This window comes from Homo sapiens, chromosome 12, assembly GCF_000001405.40.
Source record: "Homo sapiens chromosome 12, GRCh38.p14 Primary Assembly".
Taxonomy (NCBI): Eukaryota; Metazoa; Chordata; class Mammalia; order Primates; family Hominidae; genus Homo; species Homo sapiens.
The window spans coordinates 1,874,999-1,893,175 of NC_000012.12; the positions used below are offsets into that span (position 1 = coordinate 1,874,999).

At 48.6% G+C, this 18,177-nt stretch overlaps 1 protein-coding gene and 1 long non-coding RNA gene across 6 annotated transcripts in view; one reads left to right on the forward strand and one right to left on the reverse strand.

Annotated features, from left to right (window-relative positions):
* CACNA2D4 (calcium voltage-gated channel auxiliary subunit alpha2delta 4) overlaps nucleotides 1-18,177 on the reverse strand; it is a 126,690-nt gene that overhangs the window by 83,036 nt on the left and 25,477 nt on the right. For 4 of the 5 annotated variants that reach the window (NM_172364.5, XM_047429897.1, XM_047429899.1 and 1 more), the window contains exons 7-17: nucleotides 12,011-12,071; nucleotides 11,225-11,375; nucleotides 10,967-11,041; nucleotides 9,989-10,078; nucleotides 9,770-9,883; nucleotides 9,245-9,323; nucleotides 7,869-8,002; nucleotides 4,806-4,883; nucleotides 3,958-4,038; nucleotides 3,317-3,391; nucleotides 253-339 (exon numbers count right to left, since the gene is read on the reverse strand). In NM_172364.5, coding sequence (NP_758952.4) covers nucleotides 253-339; nucleotides 3,317-3,391; nucleotides 3,958-4,038; nucleotides 4,806-4,883; nucleotides 7,869-8,002; nucleotides 9,245-9,323; nucleotides 9,770-9,883; nucleotides 9,989-10,078; nucleotides 10,967-11,041; nucleotides 11,225-11,375; nucleotides 12,011-12,071 — 1,025 coding nt within the window. Of the gene's footprint in view, nucleotides 1-252; nucleotides 340-3,316; nucleotides 3,392-3,957; nucleotides 4,039-4,805; nucleotides 4,884-7,868; nucleotides 8,003-9,244; nucleotides 9,324-9,769; nucleotides 9,884-9,979; nucleotides 10,079-10,966; nucleotides 11,042-11,224; nucleotides 11,376-12,010; nucleotides 12,072-18,177 lie in introns of all 5 variants that reach the window. The other variant, XM_011521041.3, reaches the window with a different exon arrangement.
* Nucleotides 9,208-14,444, forward strand: LOC124902858 (uncharacterized). Its single transcript, XR_007063158.1, has 3 exons — nucleotides 9,208-9,305; nucleotides 10,857-11,052; nucleotides 11,258-14,444. It is a non-coding gene; the product is annotated as an uncharacterized LOC124902858 (long non-coding RNA).

The window sequence follows — 18,177 nt, forward strand, 5'->3', positions numbered from 1 at the left end:
AGCTTATACACATGATCTCATCCAGCCTCAGTAGTCCTTGTGATTCAAGAAGATATTGTTATATTTTTATAGTTGTTAAAAGAATTGCTCATTTTAGGCATTGCTTGTGGCTTGAGCTTGGAAAGGCTCTGGGATGAACCTGTTCTGCCTGACAGGAACAGAGTGACCTCAAAGCTCACAGCCACACAGCTGACCCATTTAGTTGGATGTAGAGCCTAACTAGCTTCCCTTCCCCCTATTTTCCCCACTCACAGATTCAGCCTGGTCTTCCCACTCCACTTCGGAGAGATCCACACTGTTGTAGTTAGGTTTGGGTTTTAGTTTCTTCCCCTCTCTGTACTGGAGTGGGCAGGTCAGGAAGAAAAACATGTGGTCAGTATACGTCCTGCTCAAGTTTATCTCTTCTACAAAGCCTTTCAGGTATATTCATAAAAGCAAAGGATTCCTTAGAAATCAATCAATCCAGTAATTACTTAAGGTTATCTGGGCAAATTCCACCTGATACAGAGCTCCCCTTACTGACATCTATGACAGATGGTCTCACGGCCTCTGAGTGAATCTTCCCCATGGCAGGGAGCTCCCTATCTCGTGGGTCAGCTTGTTGGAGCTTTGGATAGCCCTAATTGTTAGAAAGTTCCTCCTCACACAAAGCTGAAATCCATCTCCCTGTTACTTCCATCCACTGATCTTCCTTCTTTCCCCTGGAGCTGCATAGAATGTGTTCCACCTGACAGCCCCTGGGATTTCCAAAGATACTTGTCACGCCTAAGACTTCACTGCTCCAACTGAGTTTGCCCGGTGTGCAGGTGCCTCAGCTCCCTCTGAATATGTTGTACTTTGTCTTCAATGTCACTCTCAAAATGGAGTTCCCAGGACAAAAGCCAACCTTCCAAATGGGGTCTGACCAGTGTGGCGTGGGCTGTGATCTGTGCACTAAGGCGTCAGGGGGCCCTGACTGCTGCCTGCGGTTCTGCTGTTTTCCTGGCCAGCCGCACTGACCTGGCAGTTCAGGCGGAGATTTCAGACAGTTCAGTCCCCTTGGTCTTCCTCATGGGACACACTGTCAGGTCCCTCTTCACAATCGTAAGCTTGGGCACTGAGTATTTCGCAGAGCTCTCCAGGCATCCCTAATATATTTCATCTTGCTAGTTTCAGCCCCTTTGTTTTAGGAGACTGCTTTCTGAATACTAATTTTCTCATTTAATGTATTAGCCATACCTTCCAGACTTTATGGCATCTGCCTTCTGCATTTTCATCTTAGGGATAAAATATTTGAATGGGACGGAGACAAGGACAGATCAGTGCTTAATAAAGACCTCCCTTCAACTTGACATACAGCCATTAATCAACATGCTGAGTGTTATTATTTTCTGGCCCTGACTTCTCTCTCTCTGAAGCCAAGACAGATGTCACCAAGTTATCTATGATTAGGTCTGCAGCACTTCCCGGGTTTAGTTTATTAACCCCAATCAAAAAAGCAAAGAGGATAGTTTATCATTGAGGTAAATTAAGGATTAATTAACATGTCTGCTTTGAGCCAAATGAGGCCCCCAGCAGATGCCTGGACAGCTCCGGTCCCCTATCACTGTGTATCTTGCTTCCGCCAGTTTTTTGTTTGTTCACTTTTTTCGGGGAAGTGTCGTGCTGATTTCTTGCCTGTTCAGGGGATCTGTAGGATCCCCTTTCCCCTCTTTCCCTCCTTTCCCATGCCTGGATCATGCTTCTTGGTCTTATTAATGACCATACTCATCAAACAGCCCTGTCCTGCCATCTTTTACATGGGATCTGTTTCCTTTGGGTGGGGCTCAACATTCCATTGCCATTTCCTAAATCCTGACAAAGCCTGAAGATCATCTGTAGCTCCTCATTTTAAAACTGCAATTCTACTCCATTAAATACTCCTACATGGGGCACTGACATGGAAAGATTTCAGTCCAATGGCATGGCTCTTTTAATTTATTACTGGGCATATCCTCGTTATTTTTTCTTTTTCAAACGTAACTATTGTTTTCCTGATAGTGCTTTCCTCAGATAACTCATTACTTTGGCTTTGCTATATCTTTTGTTTTGTAATCGTGTCCTGTGTGGTATTATTCCCTAATTGTTTCATTTGTGTAAGTCTAGTTTTCCTAATTAGAGTACAAGCCTCTGTTTATAGCATTCTTCACTGCATCGTGAGGTCAGGCACGAGGAGGCCCACAGTGTGAATCCACTGGTTGAAGCCTTATATTCGTCTAGAGTACATAGATGGTAACAGGCAGTTTATGATCAGTACCCCTCAATTCTACAAGTCAGCTCCAGAATCAGCATATTATTTCCCTAGTGAGTCATTCTGCTGGCACTGGGGCTGTCCCCCGCAGAACCCCTTGGTACAAGGGAGTGACATGTTATGGGCTCAGATGCTTGCCCAGCAGAGCCTGATTTGGAAGACAGCATGAACAGAGTGGCTTCCAGTGTGCCCTGATCTCTCTCTATTCAGAACCCCTAGAGTTTGCCTTAAATAGTTAATCATTGCCTTGCAGATATTCAGTGTCTATTTGAACCAAATGGAATGAATGGAGTGTGGCTTAGACTGACCTCTCCAAATGACACCTGGGCAGATGAGGCCCTAAGTTCTCCGGAAGGTGCTCTGCTGTCTGTCCTCTGTTGCCATCTGTTATTCACCATAAGACTGGTAGAGGGCAAAGGGCTACGATTCTCCTAGGACTTTAGCTCCCGCCGTCCCAACAGCCACACTGAGAGCTGTGGTCATTATTGCTGCATAGTGCTCAAGTGCATGACTAGCTCCTGGAGGCAGAGCTTTCAGATAAGACAATGCAACTTTCTTCCTCAGCCATCAGAGGCTCAGTTGAACTCATGTGAAAATACCCCAGCCTCTGTGTCACAGTGAAGAGGGCTGGGAGGGCCAGGAGCACTCAGGAATGCATCCTAAGGTGTGCTGCTCAGGAGAGGGCTCCCCTGCCATTTCCATGCTTAGCTCCTTGTTCACCCAACTTCGCAGGCCCCCAGAGTTCTGAGAGACTCCAAGCAGATGTGAATAATGGCCCTGCGGGCTCTTTAGCCTCAAAACTGCACACTTCGTTACGTGCTCTCTGGCCCACTCATCAGTCATTTCACATGTTTTTGCCTTGTCTCTTCTGATAGAATCTAAACAACTTGAAAACAGGGACCATGACTCGAATACATTTTTTTTCTCATATTACCCACTGGGTTCCTAAATGGAGCCCAATGTGTGTTTGTTGTTTTAATCGTTTTTGTGAATTACCCCCAAATCCCATACAGTAAGGATCCCAAGGCAAAGAAGATCTGTACCTACCAGGGGCCGGAGGTCGGGATGGGAGAGGATGTAGCCATTGTTGGTGTTCAGAAAGGCGTATCCGTGCACTCCAAGCTGCCAGAGTCCAGGGTGGAGGCGCATTAGGCCTGCTGTTTGTGCTGGGCATCTGGAGTTGGGCAGGGGTTTGGGGGCCACAGGACGGTCAAAGATGGCAGCTCACAGCAGTGAGTGTTTTCAATAGGAACGTAACTGAGCCAGTGCCATGCTTCCATCATTGATTGAGGAGTCCTTTCCAAACCGGACTGTTTATAGCAACCGTCATCATACATATTATTACCTGACTTCTTTACCACCACATGTTCTGGGTGCTTTGATGATGTAATCTCACTCACCCTTACAGCAGGACTGTGTGGCACGGAGGAGCAGACTGAGAAACTGAGACACTGGGCAGGGAAAGGACTTACTGAAGGCCACAGAGCAAGTCATAGTTCGTGGTGGGAAAGGGACCCAGGGGCACCAGTTGCTGCTCCCCTGCTCAGCACCTGCACTTCTTGGGCAGTGATGGAGGGGCCCCACCCCAGCTCTGGGCTTGGCTTGCCTGGAGAGAGGCTCCCATCACGGGGGAGGGAGTTTGCTCCTGGGGAACCTGTGATCCCCACAGGGAACAGACCCAGGCTCACCTTGTACCGGGGCGCCAGCTTCATCAGCTCTCTCAGGGCCACATCTGAGCCCACCACACCCAGGAGAATGCCATGGGATCGCTGGAAGGAAAGACACAAGGGGTGGGGGAGACCCAGCTTCCCTGTGTACAAGGTTAGACTGGACCCTGGGCCTGTCCAGAGCCTGGAAGAGGAAGCCACTTAGGCTTTAAGTGGTTCTTCCTCTGCAATTAGATTCTAGGCTGGGAATAAAAATCTAGACTCTATCAGACGAGGTCCCAGGAGCAAAACCAGCTGCTAGGAAGATTAATACCCAGTATTAATATTTAAGTTGTAATATTTAAATGGAATCCAAAGTTAAATGAAATATTAATCTTCACGGCACAGGGCGAAGTTATCGGGATCTCAGGGACCATAACTCACGGGGGCTCTGAAGCATACAGAGCCTGTAATGAAACATTTCCTGACCTGATGGAGGATGGAAGGCTCAAGAAATCCCCTCACCAGAGGCCTTTACAGACAAGTTAGAGTCTGCACAACCTGGCAGATTAAGCATGGCTTTGCAGGAAGGCTGACGGGAAACCCTCCGGTCTTATATCCCCAAGGCAGGGGTCCCAACTGCAGAGCAGTGAAGCTACTCCCAGCCAGCCTGCAGTCACTGGGGAAGCTGTGGAAAAGCACAGACCACCAGCCCACCTCCAACCAGGAGAGTCTGGGGTAGCTACTCTGGGACAGGCCTGGAAATCTGCATTCAAACCCTCCCAAGGTGGCTCAGAGGCACAGCCAAGTCAAGAATCACTGGTCTAAAGATGGCACTGAAGCCCCAGGTTCTAATCCCTGCTACAACGTCTCCAGGAGCGGCCACTCACCGTTTCGTTCTTCTTGCTGAAGACTGGCATGGCCACAGTGGTGAGCAGTGTCAGGCTCTGAGCCTGCGAGCTGAGGAGCTGTAAGGGAGGGGAGAACAGGGGTCAGAAGGTGCGGCCTAGGGCCACTGGTTTGCCGCACTCGGAGCACCCAGTGCGGAGAACCCACAGTCACCACATCAATTATCCAGCGTCACCTTCCCACAGGAAGGAGGAAATCCCAAATGAGGATTCCCTTCTCTGCAAAAGGAGAGTTGGCAGGAATGCTGGGGGCCAGAAGTGGACTGGAGGGCAGGACCAGGCTGATGTCACTCAGCAGGGTCCTGAGCCCCATGACCCAGCCCCAAGCACATTCACTAAGCTCTCTCGTCTCAGCGAGGCCCAGGCCGAGTGTTAAGTGCAAACCCAGGAAACAGGCCCATCTGCGCCTGCCCAGAAACAGAGAGGCTTTGCACAGCACGAGCTTTCCAGAAACCTCTGATATGGACTTAAGGTTGCTACAGGTGAGAGGGAGGACATTGACCCAGAGCTACCCAGAAACACAAGCACACCCCGAGGCACTGCAGTGCAAAGGCAGGCCGTGGTGCAGCTGTGGTGGGCTTCGGGGCCGTTCCTAGGACACAGGTCAGACCCACATGGACTCCACTCACAGCACCAGAGCCAAACCCTTGCCACCTCTAGACGGCTGTCCGCCCTGACTGGCTGGGCTCGCCGTGCCGGCTCCTCCAGCCACTTGAAAGGGGCTCTGCATGTGTGCCCCACTTTATAACAAAAGTAGGCTTCTGACAAGCATGTGGGAAGAGAGGTATCGTAAGTCCGACCTTGGATGAGATCAACTAAAGGGGACTGCTGAGTCATGGAAGTCCACAGTTGACTTTCTTGGAGAAGGAAGCACATTTTGGCCACCACGTCTCTTTCTCTCATCTCATCTGAGTTTTCAATTTAGAGTTAGAAGTAAGGCTTTCTGAGAGTGAACCACGATGACATCTAATTGTTTTCTGAGCTTGGACACATCTCTATGGGCTGCATGAGGGCTTTCCAGTCTCCTTCCTGAGTTAGGAATGCATGAAGCCAGCTTGTCCCTGGCTCCCAGAGAGCAGCTCCCAGGCTCTTGGAGGCCCCTGTGGCCTGCTCTCCCTAGGACATGTCTCAGTCTGGGAGGAGTCCAGTCACAGCTGTCCCTGCACTCATGTTTCTGGATACCCTTGCAAGGGCGGACACCTGCCCTGGGCTCAGGGGAGTGACATCCTCCACTCAGAGGGTTCCGAAGTGGGTCCGGGAGACCTGCAGGTGACCCTTAACTTCAGGGACTCCTAAGTCAGGGACAGGAGAGGGAAGGAGGAAGACAGAGGAGATGTAGGGACTGGTTGCAGGGGGCGGTTCTCACTGAGGGACAGGTGTAAAAGTGAAGATCAAACTGTGAACTGTGGCCTCGTCTGTGTGCGTGGAGGTAAGAGAGCGTCAGAAGGTCAGGCTGTCCATAGAATGCTAAGGACATCCTAGCACCGTCTGACATCAGTTGCAGCACACAGGGAACCTGGGGTTGCCTCTACCCACCTTCTGCCAAACTCACACCCAACACTCCAGGCCACCTTCAGCAGGTATGGCCTATGCCCGGCTTCTCTCATCGGATTTCATGGTTCTGAAAGCCTTCGCTTTCCAGCTCCCGTGGCATGACCACAACACTCCCAGGTGAGGGAGGCCCACACGGAGCACCGGAGCCCTGGCCCCTCCTGCTGGGCTGGCTACTGGCAGGCAGATGAATGCACGGGTGATGGAGAGGAAGTGCAGGTGCCAGGGTTCACAGGAAGACAGCTCAAAGAAGATCCCCTCCTGTCCTCCTTCTCCCCACCCACCTCTCTCTCATCAAACCTGGACACTCAGGGCCCTATGAACACTTGGACAAGGGAGGGAGAGCCCTGCCCAAAGGCAGCCAGCTCGTCTCTTCTCAGCAGCAGTCGGTGATGGTCAGATGACATCTGCTGAGCATGGCCGTGTTGGCGGAGCCCCTTTAAAGTAGATTAATGAGCTTTTCATCCCAAATTTGGCCAGATGGCTTATGTCTACTATTAACAGGTGGAGGTAAGTAAGCATGCCACTGCTTTTGGACATAGAGCAACTCAGAAGAAAGCTGACCATTGCCTCGTTGCATTCCCAGCCTCCTTTGTCAGCACAGGGACTGAGTTCTGGCCAGTGAAAGGTGAATTCTGGGTTCTGGCAAGAGTCCCTGCAAGTTTCCCTCACAGGGGCGAAGTATCCCCCTTCCCCTTCCACAGCCTGATGCTTAAGTGTGGTTTCAGTTGACTCATGTTCCACCAGCCTCCTGAGCATGAGGATGAGGGCCACATGGCTGGGACAGCAAAGGGGACAGCAGGGAGGAGCCTGGGTCCCTGATGACCAGGCCAGAGAGCTCGTGGTCAGCTCTGGGCTTTGTTTACCCAAGGGGGACATTCACTTCTATCTTATTTAAGCCACTCTTTTCAGGTCTCTCTGGAGCCCAGCCTGATACATCATCACTGAAGCAGGTGGCTGCCTATGTGATGGGGATTTGAGAAATGGCAGAAAGGTCTCCCTTCCCCAGAAAGGTCCCATGTGAAGCTCTCCCTTTGATGTTCATTCTTTCGTGCAAGTCATTGCTGCCTACAGTCCTTTGAAAATGCAGGGACCCAGGAAGGGAGAACGTGTTCCAGCTGTGGGATGGTGGATTCTTGGTCTGACCCCTTTCTGTCCCGGGTGGGTGGGAGGGAGGGATGATGAGGGAGGCGAGGACTGTGGAGGAGGAGGAAGGAACAACTTCGGAGCAGGGACCCTGTCCGTGGAGAGCACCTCAGGCAGGTCTGCTGGGGGTCTAAGGCAGCATATGAGCAGTGGTCCCATTAGTGGGCCAAGGGCTGTCAGGAAAAGAGGAGGAAAAGCATGGAAAAGCGGCTTCATTCGCCCCTTCTTAATGTTCCCTAAGGAGGTGCTAGGCCCACCCCTTTCCTGACCCAGGAAGTAACTTCTTACTCCCTGGGGTCCCTAACTCTGAGGTGGGCTTCTCGAGCTGGGAGCTGCTGCCAGGCTCACCTTGCTGTCCATGTAGGCCTCTGTCCAGATGATGTCGTGGTCGTGGTTGATGACCATGGGGCGGCTGAGCACGTGCAGGTATTCCATCACGTTCTCCTGGGTGTCCGCCAGCGTTGAGATCTGCGTGTAGTAGCCTGCGGTGGGGAAGGCCGCGTGGGTGTGGAAGGCAGGGCTTCCCTGGGAACCCCTCGCCAGGGCCTGCACCCTCCCCAGCTGCAGATGGCTCATAGCCGAATACTCTCTGGAAACTGGACCGGGGCACAGGGAGCTGCTTCCCCACAGTTGTGTCCTTTACCCAGGGGCAGCCGCAGGCCAGTGGGAGGCCAAGGCTCACTCTGCTGCACCCTGGAAGATCTCTGAGGGGCTGTCCCACCCAGAGCTCCGGAAGGAGCAGCAGGGCCTGACGCAAGAGTGTTGGGGGTCAGCCTCTCCCTCTCCCAGCCTCGCCCTCCCACTTCCTCACAGGAACATCTCATGAGAGTGCCCTGTAAGCTTTCTTCTGCCACTCTTAGGTCTCTTCAGGGAACCCAATCAGAGGCAGAGATTTCTGCCTCTCCGCTCCTCCTTCCTCTGGTCCTTGTTCTTGCTCAGGTTGTGGGGTGGGTGTTACAGCCTATTCCCTGGAACCATGGTGACACTCCAAAGCGCAGATGGCGCAGAAGGCTGTGAATGGCCTCTCCACGCCCCCACCTCCCACCGTGTTCATCCCCCTCGCCAGTGAGATGCAGCACCTCTCTGCTCCCAGCAGGTCTCAGACCCTTTCAGCACACTGTTCCCTCTGTCTGGAACACCCTTCCAGTCGCCCCACTGACTTGGAGAGTGCCTCCCCCATGGCCCCCGGCACCCTGAACAGTCTGTGTCTCTCCACCATCAAAGCACATTTCAGGCTGCATCGTGGGTGGTGTTTTACTTGTATGTCTCCCTGCTGGACAATACTGAGAGGTAGACCGACCCTGAGTCCATCCTGATCCCTCTTGGTCCCCTGGTGCCTGGAAATGGGGCCAGGTGCATAGTGGATGCTCAGTGAATTTTTGTTGAATCAATGGGGTCTGGTCAGAGATAGATGAGGACCATTCACACACAAAACATTATTCCAGAGAAAACAGTGACCCTCTGCTTTTTGTCTGGGAGCAGAACCAGAGTCCATGGCTTACTTTGCTGAAAGAAAGAATGGGGGCAGGATGGAGACAGAGCTGACATTGTCTCACCTTGCTTTTTCCAAATATGAAGGAGGGACTGAGGCTGCTGTTCTTGACATAGCACTGCTCCTCTTAGGGGCCCATGGGGAAGCCCGTGCTCAGCACTTCCAGGGCTGGGTAACCCTGTCTCCTGTGCTCAGGTGCAGGTGGGAAGGTACCTGCTGGCCCGGCACTCACCTTTGTTGTTGCATGCAATCCACTTCATGCGGTCAGCAAAAGACACTTCTCTCCCAATGAGGTAAGTGAAAACTCGGACCTAACCCACAAGACACAGAGGCACTCAGCAGCAAAATTCCCGGCCATAAGTAATGTTAACATTGTTTATATGAGTCTTAGATGTTGGCCCCAGTGCCTCTCAGTCTTCGGGTTCTCCAATTTCACCCCCTGAGGCCCAGGCAGCAACACAATTCGCCCAGGGCCATGGGGACTGCGGGTAGGTGCAAGGCTGAGATTTACAGCCTGGCAGTTCTGATGTCCCCAAACCATATTCTGGTCCCTTACCCCAAACTTCCTACATCAGGCCTCTGTGTCTCGGGTAGCCATAATTTTGGAACACTCAATTAAAATGCATCTGAAAGCAAGAATGGCTCTAATAGGAAAGCAGATTTGAATGGGGGCCATCCTTCTAGGGTCCCTGCTGGTGATCCCATCCATGGCAGCAGGAGAAGCTTTTTTCTCCCTGGACACCCGTGGGAGGGTCACCTTACAGTCTGGCCAGTTATACTTCTCAAACACCGGCTCGTAGTCCTCCACGGCGCCGTCGCTGATGAGCATGATGGCCTGGTTGCAGAGGCTTCCTTGCTTGGCCTCTTGGAACTGTGTAGGGAAGAGGAGTGCCCATGACCACAGGCCAAGCCCACCCCCCTCCACCTGCCGCCTTCCTCCCAGTCCTCCCCTCCCAGGCCTCATTACAGTGGGCACCTGCTTCAGGATCTGGAAGGCTTCTCTCAGGGCTTGGTCCACGACCCCCACACCTTTGACCATCAACTCCTCCACCAGCAGTTTGAAATGCTGCCATGGGTGAGATATTAGAGAAGCATCAGGGGGTTGAGTGGGCCAGTGGAGCTTCATGTTTGGTGTTAATTTGGGAGGCTGTTTAGGGCCATCCAGAAGGACATGATTTCAGGGCCTGTGTCTCCATGATGCAGTTCATGGACTGGTCCTCTACAATAGGTGTTTCTCAAATGTCCCCAAGATAAACTGAGAGAGGGGAAATGACTTGGTACACATCCATGGCCACTATTGATGGGAAACGCCAAGTGTGAAGCTGAGTACAGGGGGAGGACAGTTCTGGGATGGAGGCAGGGTAACCTCGGCTCCCAGACCACAGCCCGCAGCCCGCAGCCCAGGGGTGCACACTTCACAGCAGAAAGTGTGGAGGTGCCCAGGGCAGAGGCCCGGCTTCAAGAGGAACTCAAACCCCAACTCCTCCATCACAGAGGGAGGAATCTATGATGTGCAAAAGCTCTCTTTAAAAAATTATTGCCATGTCCTCTCCTCCTTGGTCTTTTACCAGAGGAAAGGATGACACTCAATGAAGTTTAAATTTGTCCTCCTTTCGGGGAAGCTTCTCATGAAAACTGACATAATGGAAAGGTCCAGGTGGGAGGCAAAAGGGGAAATTGAGTCCTATATAATCCACAGGGTGAAAAACCAGTCCTGAATAAGGAAGGTTCCCTTTGCTATGAGGTCTCTATCTGCTCACTGTTTGCTCTGATAAGCAGCAGTGTGTTTACAGGGCGGTTCCCTGGGTTGTTTGCATGGGTAACGTGCTCTGCTCTCATTCCAGGTGCCATGGGAATAAGCAAAAAGGGCCACAGAAACAGTCTACAGAGACAACCGCCCACCATCCAGACAAGAGCAGGGGCTTGGAAGTCTCAGGCCACCGTGGACACTCACCTCTCGATTGTCTCGGTCCGCCTGGACGAGGATCCCTTTAAAACAAGGCTCGATGTAATGGACGTAGTCATTGTACTGCAGTTGCAGTGAGTTGAGGGGAGGTGGGGGGAGAATAAACAGCATCAGGTTGCAAAGTCCAGGCCCAGCAAAGACACTCATGCAGGTCACCGGGTGGTCAGGGGTTGTGGGTCACCTTGGTACCTGTGTATGATTTCTAGAGCAAGTGAGAGCTATTCTAGAACAGGAAGGCACATTTACCGCTATGATATTAATGAAGTCATTCTCCCCCAGGGTGTCCAAGATGGTGGTGATGGTGTGCTTGGCAATAGTCATCCTCAGCCCCTTCATACTGCCGCTCACGTCCACCAAAATCACTATGTCCTTGGGAGAAGTAGCAGCTTGAATGTACCTGAAGGAAGAAAGGGACATGCCCAAGATGGGAAAACCAAAGCCGGAACCAATACCTGACCAAGGGGTCTGCAGTTATTTCTGTTCAGATGCTGGCTCGAGCCCACCCAAAGTTCAGGGCAACCCATCTATGCCAGGTTTCACATGTTCCATAACCACTTGACACAGTGCTGAAGCCATCTGGGGTGGCAGTGGTTGGGGATGTGCCACCTAACAGGCCAGGTCAAGCCCTGGAGGTAACGCTTGTTCCTTTTGATTTAGACCAACCGGGGTCCCTGAGGGGCTGGCAGCAGAAAGGGAGAGAGCTGGGCTTCAGATTCTGTTACCAACTTGCCACAAAAGGGGTGTGGAAGGAGAGGAGAGCCTAACAAAAGGTTGACGTGGAGACAGCTCAGTGTCCTGGCAGGAGGTTTAGGTTGGGAAAGACAAACATGATCAGTCCTGGAGCAAGGCAATTGTAGAGGGAAGGGAGGAATGCTGGCCCTCTTCCTGCTCTTGTGTCGGGCTAGGGTTCTACACACCCAAGGCCCTTGAGTGGCGGTGGGGGAAGGGGCGGAAGTGGAGGAGGATGAGGCAAAACCCAAAAGCTATGAGATAAATACCCGGGCCGCAAACCTTTCCCCTGTGAGCTCTTACCAGCCGCGGTTTCGGCAGTCAAAAGTAATGACTCCATTCTCATCAGGTGTCCATTTTATACCTGGGAGAATAAAGACTCGTTCTTTTACTAGCTTGGTGAGGCCACCCCAGATCCCCTGGCTGGGTGTGGACCCCCAAGATGGCCATGATCCCCAGGGCAGAACAGCTTTGGAGCTAGGGAACAGGGTGGGGAACACTGGGACATGCCCTGTAGACTGAGACAAGCTGGCAAGGAGACATCTACCAGCCAAACTGCCCAGATGCAGAGCTGGGGGTAATTTCACAGGTAGGACCACATAGGTGGTGCCTGGGACTCATTTGTGAGGCAAAACCTCATATCAAATAGTGGAGGGGGAAGCTTTGGAGAAGTGTGACTTTTAACATCCATTACCATCCAGCAAAGTGTGGACAAAATGTTGAAAAAGGCAAGTGCTCTGACTTCTAACACACTTGCCTCTAGGTGTTAAGCTCATTAGCACTCAGGATCCTTCCTGTTGGCTGGGATGGGAGAAATGATTTGGCTCTATGACTGTAGGCTCTTTGAGGTCAGGGATTCCTAGAACCCAGCAGAGTATATGCTTAATAAATGTCTGTTACTTGAATGAAAGGACAAATGAATGGATATGAAAGATCTTGCGTTGACCCAGTAGCAGAATGCTGGTGTAGATTTTTATCCTATCCACCTAATAAAAAAATTTGTATAGATGCACAGAAAACACTGACATGATCCACAATAGAATCTCGATTTGAAAAGACTTTATGATTGGGAATAGTGGGTTTAAAAGAAGAAGAGTAAAAATAACAGGTGGAATTGCAATATGTTGTGATTGGGATAGACAAAATGATTGTAGCAGTATTATGAATGTCTAGAAGCTCCAAGGGCCCTTCCTCCTCCACAGTGGTTAGACTTCAGATGACATACACCCTTTGAGGCATTGCTGGCATCTCAAAGGTAGGAGAGGTTGTCAGAGACCATGATCTCAAAACCAAACAAATGAGAACAGAGCCCCAGGCGTGAGGCATATGTGTGAGGTCAGCTAGCACCCAAAGCCTTGAAGGTGGGAAGCAGAGCCATGGGAGTGTGGTGTGATGGGAGCTTGAGTACCACTGGTCTGACCTAGTCTTGCAGGCAGTCATGGGAGGTAGGGCTTTCCTGAGGCCACATTCTTACAGCAACATGGTCATGGGGAATTTGATCCTTAGAACAGCAATGAGGAGGAGAAGCTGAGTCTGAGATTACTGGCTCTTAACCAAAATCTTCGAAGAGGACTTTGGAGGTCCTGGATGAGGGTACCCTCAAGTCCAAGCGGAAACAGAAGCGAATTTTCTTGTGGATTCCCAACTCAGACCCACTGGACTCTGAAGAGGACAAGCAGCATGGCCTCACAAGCAAAGATTCCCAAATACATAAGGAGCAGACCCCTATTAGTGGGAGGCAGCAGACTCAAGAGCTACCTCAAGAGCTGGATATAGCTTCTCAAGAATTACAGATGTTGGAATGGCCAAATACCAAACACAAACTAGGTAGGTATGAGAAGAACACATAATACAAAGAACATACAAGAAATGACCAGGAATGAAGAAACAGCCTTGCAAATATGAAGCTTTCGGAGATGAAAAAATGTATAGGTTGAAAAAAATAAATTAAATGGATAGTGCTTTATTCATGGGTAAAAAGAAAATGCATACATTTGTGGATGTATCCAGAGTTCTACTGAGGCTGGAATGAGAAGGTTTAATACACATCTGATTGGAGTCACAGAAAGAGAAAAGGGAGAGCATGGAGGAAAGGTGATGGTTGAAGAGATGATACTGGCAAATATTCTAGAACTGATTAAAAATCCAATTCCACAGATCTAGGAAGCACAGCGTATCCCAAACAGCATGAATAAAAAGATATCCACATATAGACACATAGTATTGGAACTGCAGAACTTCGAAGGCAAATAAATAAATAAACAAATACCACGAAGGCAGCCAGAAAGCCCACGACACCTACAAAGGAAGAGCAGTTAAACTGGTAGATTTTCCCAACATCAATGAAAGCCAGAAGACAGTGGATAAACAGTTTTAAGATGTTGAGAGAATAGAATTATTGATTTAGAATTGCATTGTCAGCAAAACTATCATTCAAGAATGAGGATAAAAGGAAACATTTGTAGATAAACACAATCTAAAGCAGTTTATACTGAAGTCCCCACTGTAAAGGAACTTCTGGAGGACTTACTTTAAGAAGAAGGGGAATGATATGGGAAAAACATCCTCACATGCATGAGGGAATGGTGAACAAATAAAATGGTAAATAAGTCATTAATTCCAAGTAAGTGATGTTTATATCAAATAACAATACTTGTGTGTCTGATTTGTGGGGATGAAAAATTTGAAATATTGACAATAGAATGGAAGTCTAGAATAAAGAGATGGAAGCACAAAAGTTCTAAAGGCCTTTGTTGACTGAGTAGAGAGCAAAAATATTATTTAATTTTAATTTTTTATTTTTAGAGATGGGATCCTGCTATATTGCCCAGGATGGTCCTGAACTCCTGGGCAAGGGAACCTCCTGCCTCAGCCGCCCCCCCCAGTAGCTGGAACTATAGGTACAAACCAAGTTCCCAGCTTAATTTTAAAATGTTATTGTATTAAATATGCCTGATAAGACTTCAGGGGTAATAACTGAAAGAATAAAAACAAGGGGACAAGTTCTAAAGTGCTAGAGAGAAAAAAAGTTATATTGGGGAAATTTATTTTTTAAATGTTAAGTATTTAAAAAGGAAAAAAGGAGAAAAAGAAAATATAAAAACACCAGGACAAGTAAAAATTTAAAAAATAAGATAATAGACTTCAAGATGGCTGACTAGAGGCATCTGGTACTTTCCTCCTCCACAAAGAAGGACAAAAATAGCAGGTAGATAATCACACTTTGAATAGATCATCCAAGAGAGAACATTGGAATTCAACAGAGAAGTGACAGGAAACACCTAAAGCAAGGAAGGAGACGGAAGCAAGTCACCCTGCTTGGCCAGGATTGGCTGGGAGCCTCTCCAGGTTGCTCAATGCAATGAAAGGATAAGTGAGAGACCCCCAGCAGTCCACATTCCCACCATGGATTCCTGCAATCCTAGCCGCAGGAGAGCCTCTAGACTCTTGTAGGCCTTAAGACTAACATAGGGAGCTGCCTGGAGCCTGGGTGAGGGCATTGCTCCAGAGAGGGAGCTCACACTGGATCTCATACACCCCCAGATCTCTAAGCAGCTGCAGCACAGCACGATATCAAGAGTCCAGACTCCACCAGACTGCGTCCTGCCTGGGGGCCCAACAGCTTCTGGATCTTCATATCCCTGGAGAACCACTGACATTTCCTTCCCACAGCCACCACCATGGCTGGATGCTGCCACCAGGGCTGAAGCGTGAGCTATTGGCAATAACCCCACTGCCCTTGGCAGTGAAATCACCACAAATTTTCATGCACCCTGAAGACAAAATCCTCCATGTACAGCCGTTGCACTGTGGGCTGCTGCCAACAGGGATGAAGCACAAGTGAAGCAAGCATTCGCCAGCCGCCTGCATCTGGCTGCTGCCACTGAAAGCAACCTCACCCTCCCCAATAGCAGGGCTGCCACACAGCCACTGCTGCCCCAACCCGAGCATTCCACCAGGGGCCAAGGGATCACCCCACCCTTGCCTACCACAGCCAGTGTCTGCATGCCCCAGCAGAGGGCATTGGGACAGGTCCACCTGACCTGGCTCTCTGTTCCCCCCATCCAGTGCCAGTATCCTGTCTGGGGCCTGGGAACTGCCCAGCCCACTCTACCATCGTTGGCACCTGAGAACTTCTCCCAGGGTCCTGAGTTCAGGGCCACTCAACTTCCTGGTACCACCATAGGTTGCACCCACCCTTACATGTCACCCACTGTCCTGGGGACTGAACTGCCCAGCTCACTGCAGCCACTGCCAAGAGCAGCACAGACCACTTTGGAGGCAGAGGGTTGCCCCACCACTGCTAACGATTGCATCACCTTTGCCACACCCACTTCTCTGGGGACTGAAAGCCTGCCCAACAGCCTGGCCCACCACTACTACTACTGTCCCCTGAGCAAGCCACCTGGAGGCCCAAGAATTGGCCTGTCTGGACCCACTAACACCAGTGCCAGTGTACACCTCCCTGGGACCCAAGGACATGCATGCTCAGCCCACTGCCACAACTGGGGCCCAAGGACAGGATCATCTGGCATCCTTGTCCCCAGAAAAACTTCACCACAGCCTCCACTAACAATGCCACCCTAAGCCACTGAGGAAATCACAGACACCACAGACGCTGTTTATAGCTGAAGAAATCATATTGAGACTACACTACTGCATGTGTCTAAGATCAAAGTCAAAATGTCCTACCCAACCAACACCATAGATATAGCTTTAGGAAAAAGTCCTCCCATATAAAAGCAAATTTTAAAAATGGGAAGATGCAACTATTACACCAGATGCACAGATATCAATGTAAGGACACAAGAAATATGAAAAAGCAAGGAAATACGACACCTCCAAAGAACACAATAATTCTTCAGCAACAGATTCCAATAAAAAAATAATTTATATAATACCGGAAAATGAATTTAAGATAATATTAAAGAAGCTCAGTGAGATACAAGAGAATACAGAAAAGCAATGCAAAGAAATAAAAAAAACTCAGGATATGAATAAGAAATTTGCTAAGAAGATAGATATCATTACAAAGAACCAAACAGAAATTCTGAAACTGAAGAATTCATTAAATGAAATACAAAATACATTTGTAAACGTTAACAATAGACTAGATCAAGCAGAAGAAAGAATTTCAGAACTCGAAGACAGGTCTTTTGAAATAACTCAGACAAAAATTTTCTTTAAAAAAAGAATAAACAAAGCCTATGTGACATATAGGACATCATTAAGTGGCCAAATGTTCACATTTTTGGTGTCCCATAAGGCAAAAGAAACAAAAAGGATGGAAAGTCTATTTCACAAAATACTAGCTGGAAACTTTCCAAGTCTAGCAAGCGATTATGACATCAGGACACAGGAAGCTCATAGATCCCCAAACAGATATAATTCAAAAATACATTGTAGTCAAACTGTAAAAAGTTAAGGACAAAGAGAGAATTCTAAAAACAGCAAGGGAAAGTTGTCTAGTTGCTTACAAGGGAACTTCCATGAGACTAGCAATGGATTTCTCAGCAGAAACCTTTCAGATCAGGAGAGAATGAGATGATATATTCAAATTTATTGGAAAAGGAAAAAAACTGCTAGTCAAGGATACTATACCCAGCAAAGTTATTCCTTATAAACAAAGGAGAAATAAAATATTTCCCAGATAAGCAAAAGCTGAGGGAATTCATCACCACTAGACTTGCTCTACAAGAAATTCTTGAATTGTCCTGAAAAAGAAAGGACAATATCTACCATGATGAAAACACATGAAAGTATAAAATTCACTGGCAGAGCAAACACAAATAAGGAAGAGTAAGGACTCAAATGTTACCACTACAGAAAACTACCAAACCAGAATGATAAACAATAAGAGAAAAAGAAAAGAACAAAGGATACCCAAAATAGCCAGAAATCAATTAATACAATGACAGGAATAGCTCTCACATATTGATAATAACCTTGAATGTAAACAGATTAAACTTTCTATTTAAAAGGTATAGATTAGCTGAATGGTTTAAAAAAAAAGGGACCAACTATATGCTGCCTAGAAGAAACTCATCTCACCTGTGAAGACATATACAGAATGAAACGGAAGAAAAAAGATATTCCACGCAAACAGAAACCAAAAGCAAACAGGAGTAGCTATACTTATATTAGATAAAACAAACTTTAAGTCAAAAACAGATACAGAAAAATGAGATGAAGGAGGTCATTATATAATGACAAAAGGATCAAGTTAGCAAGAGTATATGGCAATTCTAAACCTGTGTGCACCCAACACTGGAACACCCAGATATATGTGGCAAATATTATTAGATCTAAAGGGAGAGACAGACTCCAATACAATAATAGTTGGAACGTAAACACCCCACTCTCAGCATTATGTAGATAATTTAGACAGAAAATTACCAAAAAAAATGGATTTAAACTGCACATTTGACTAAATGGACCTAGGCATGTACAGAACGTTTTATCTGACAGCC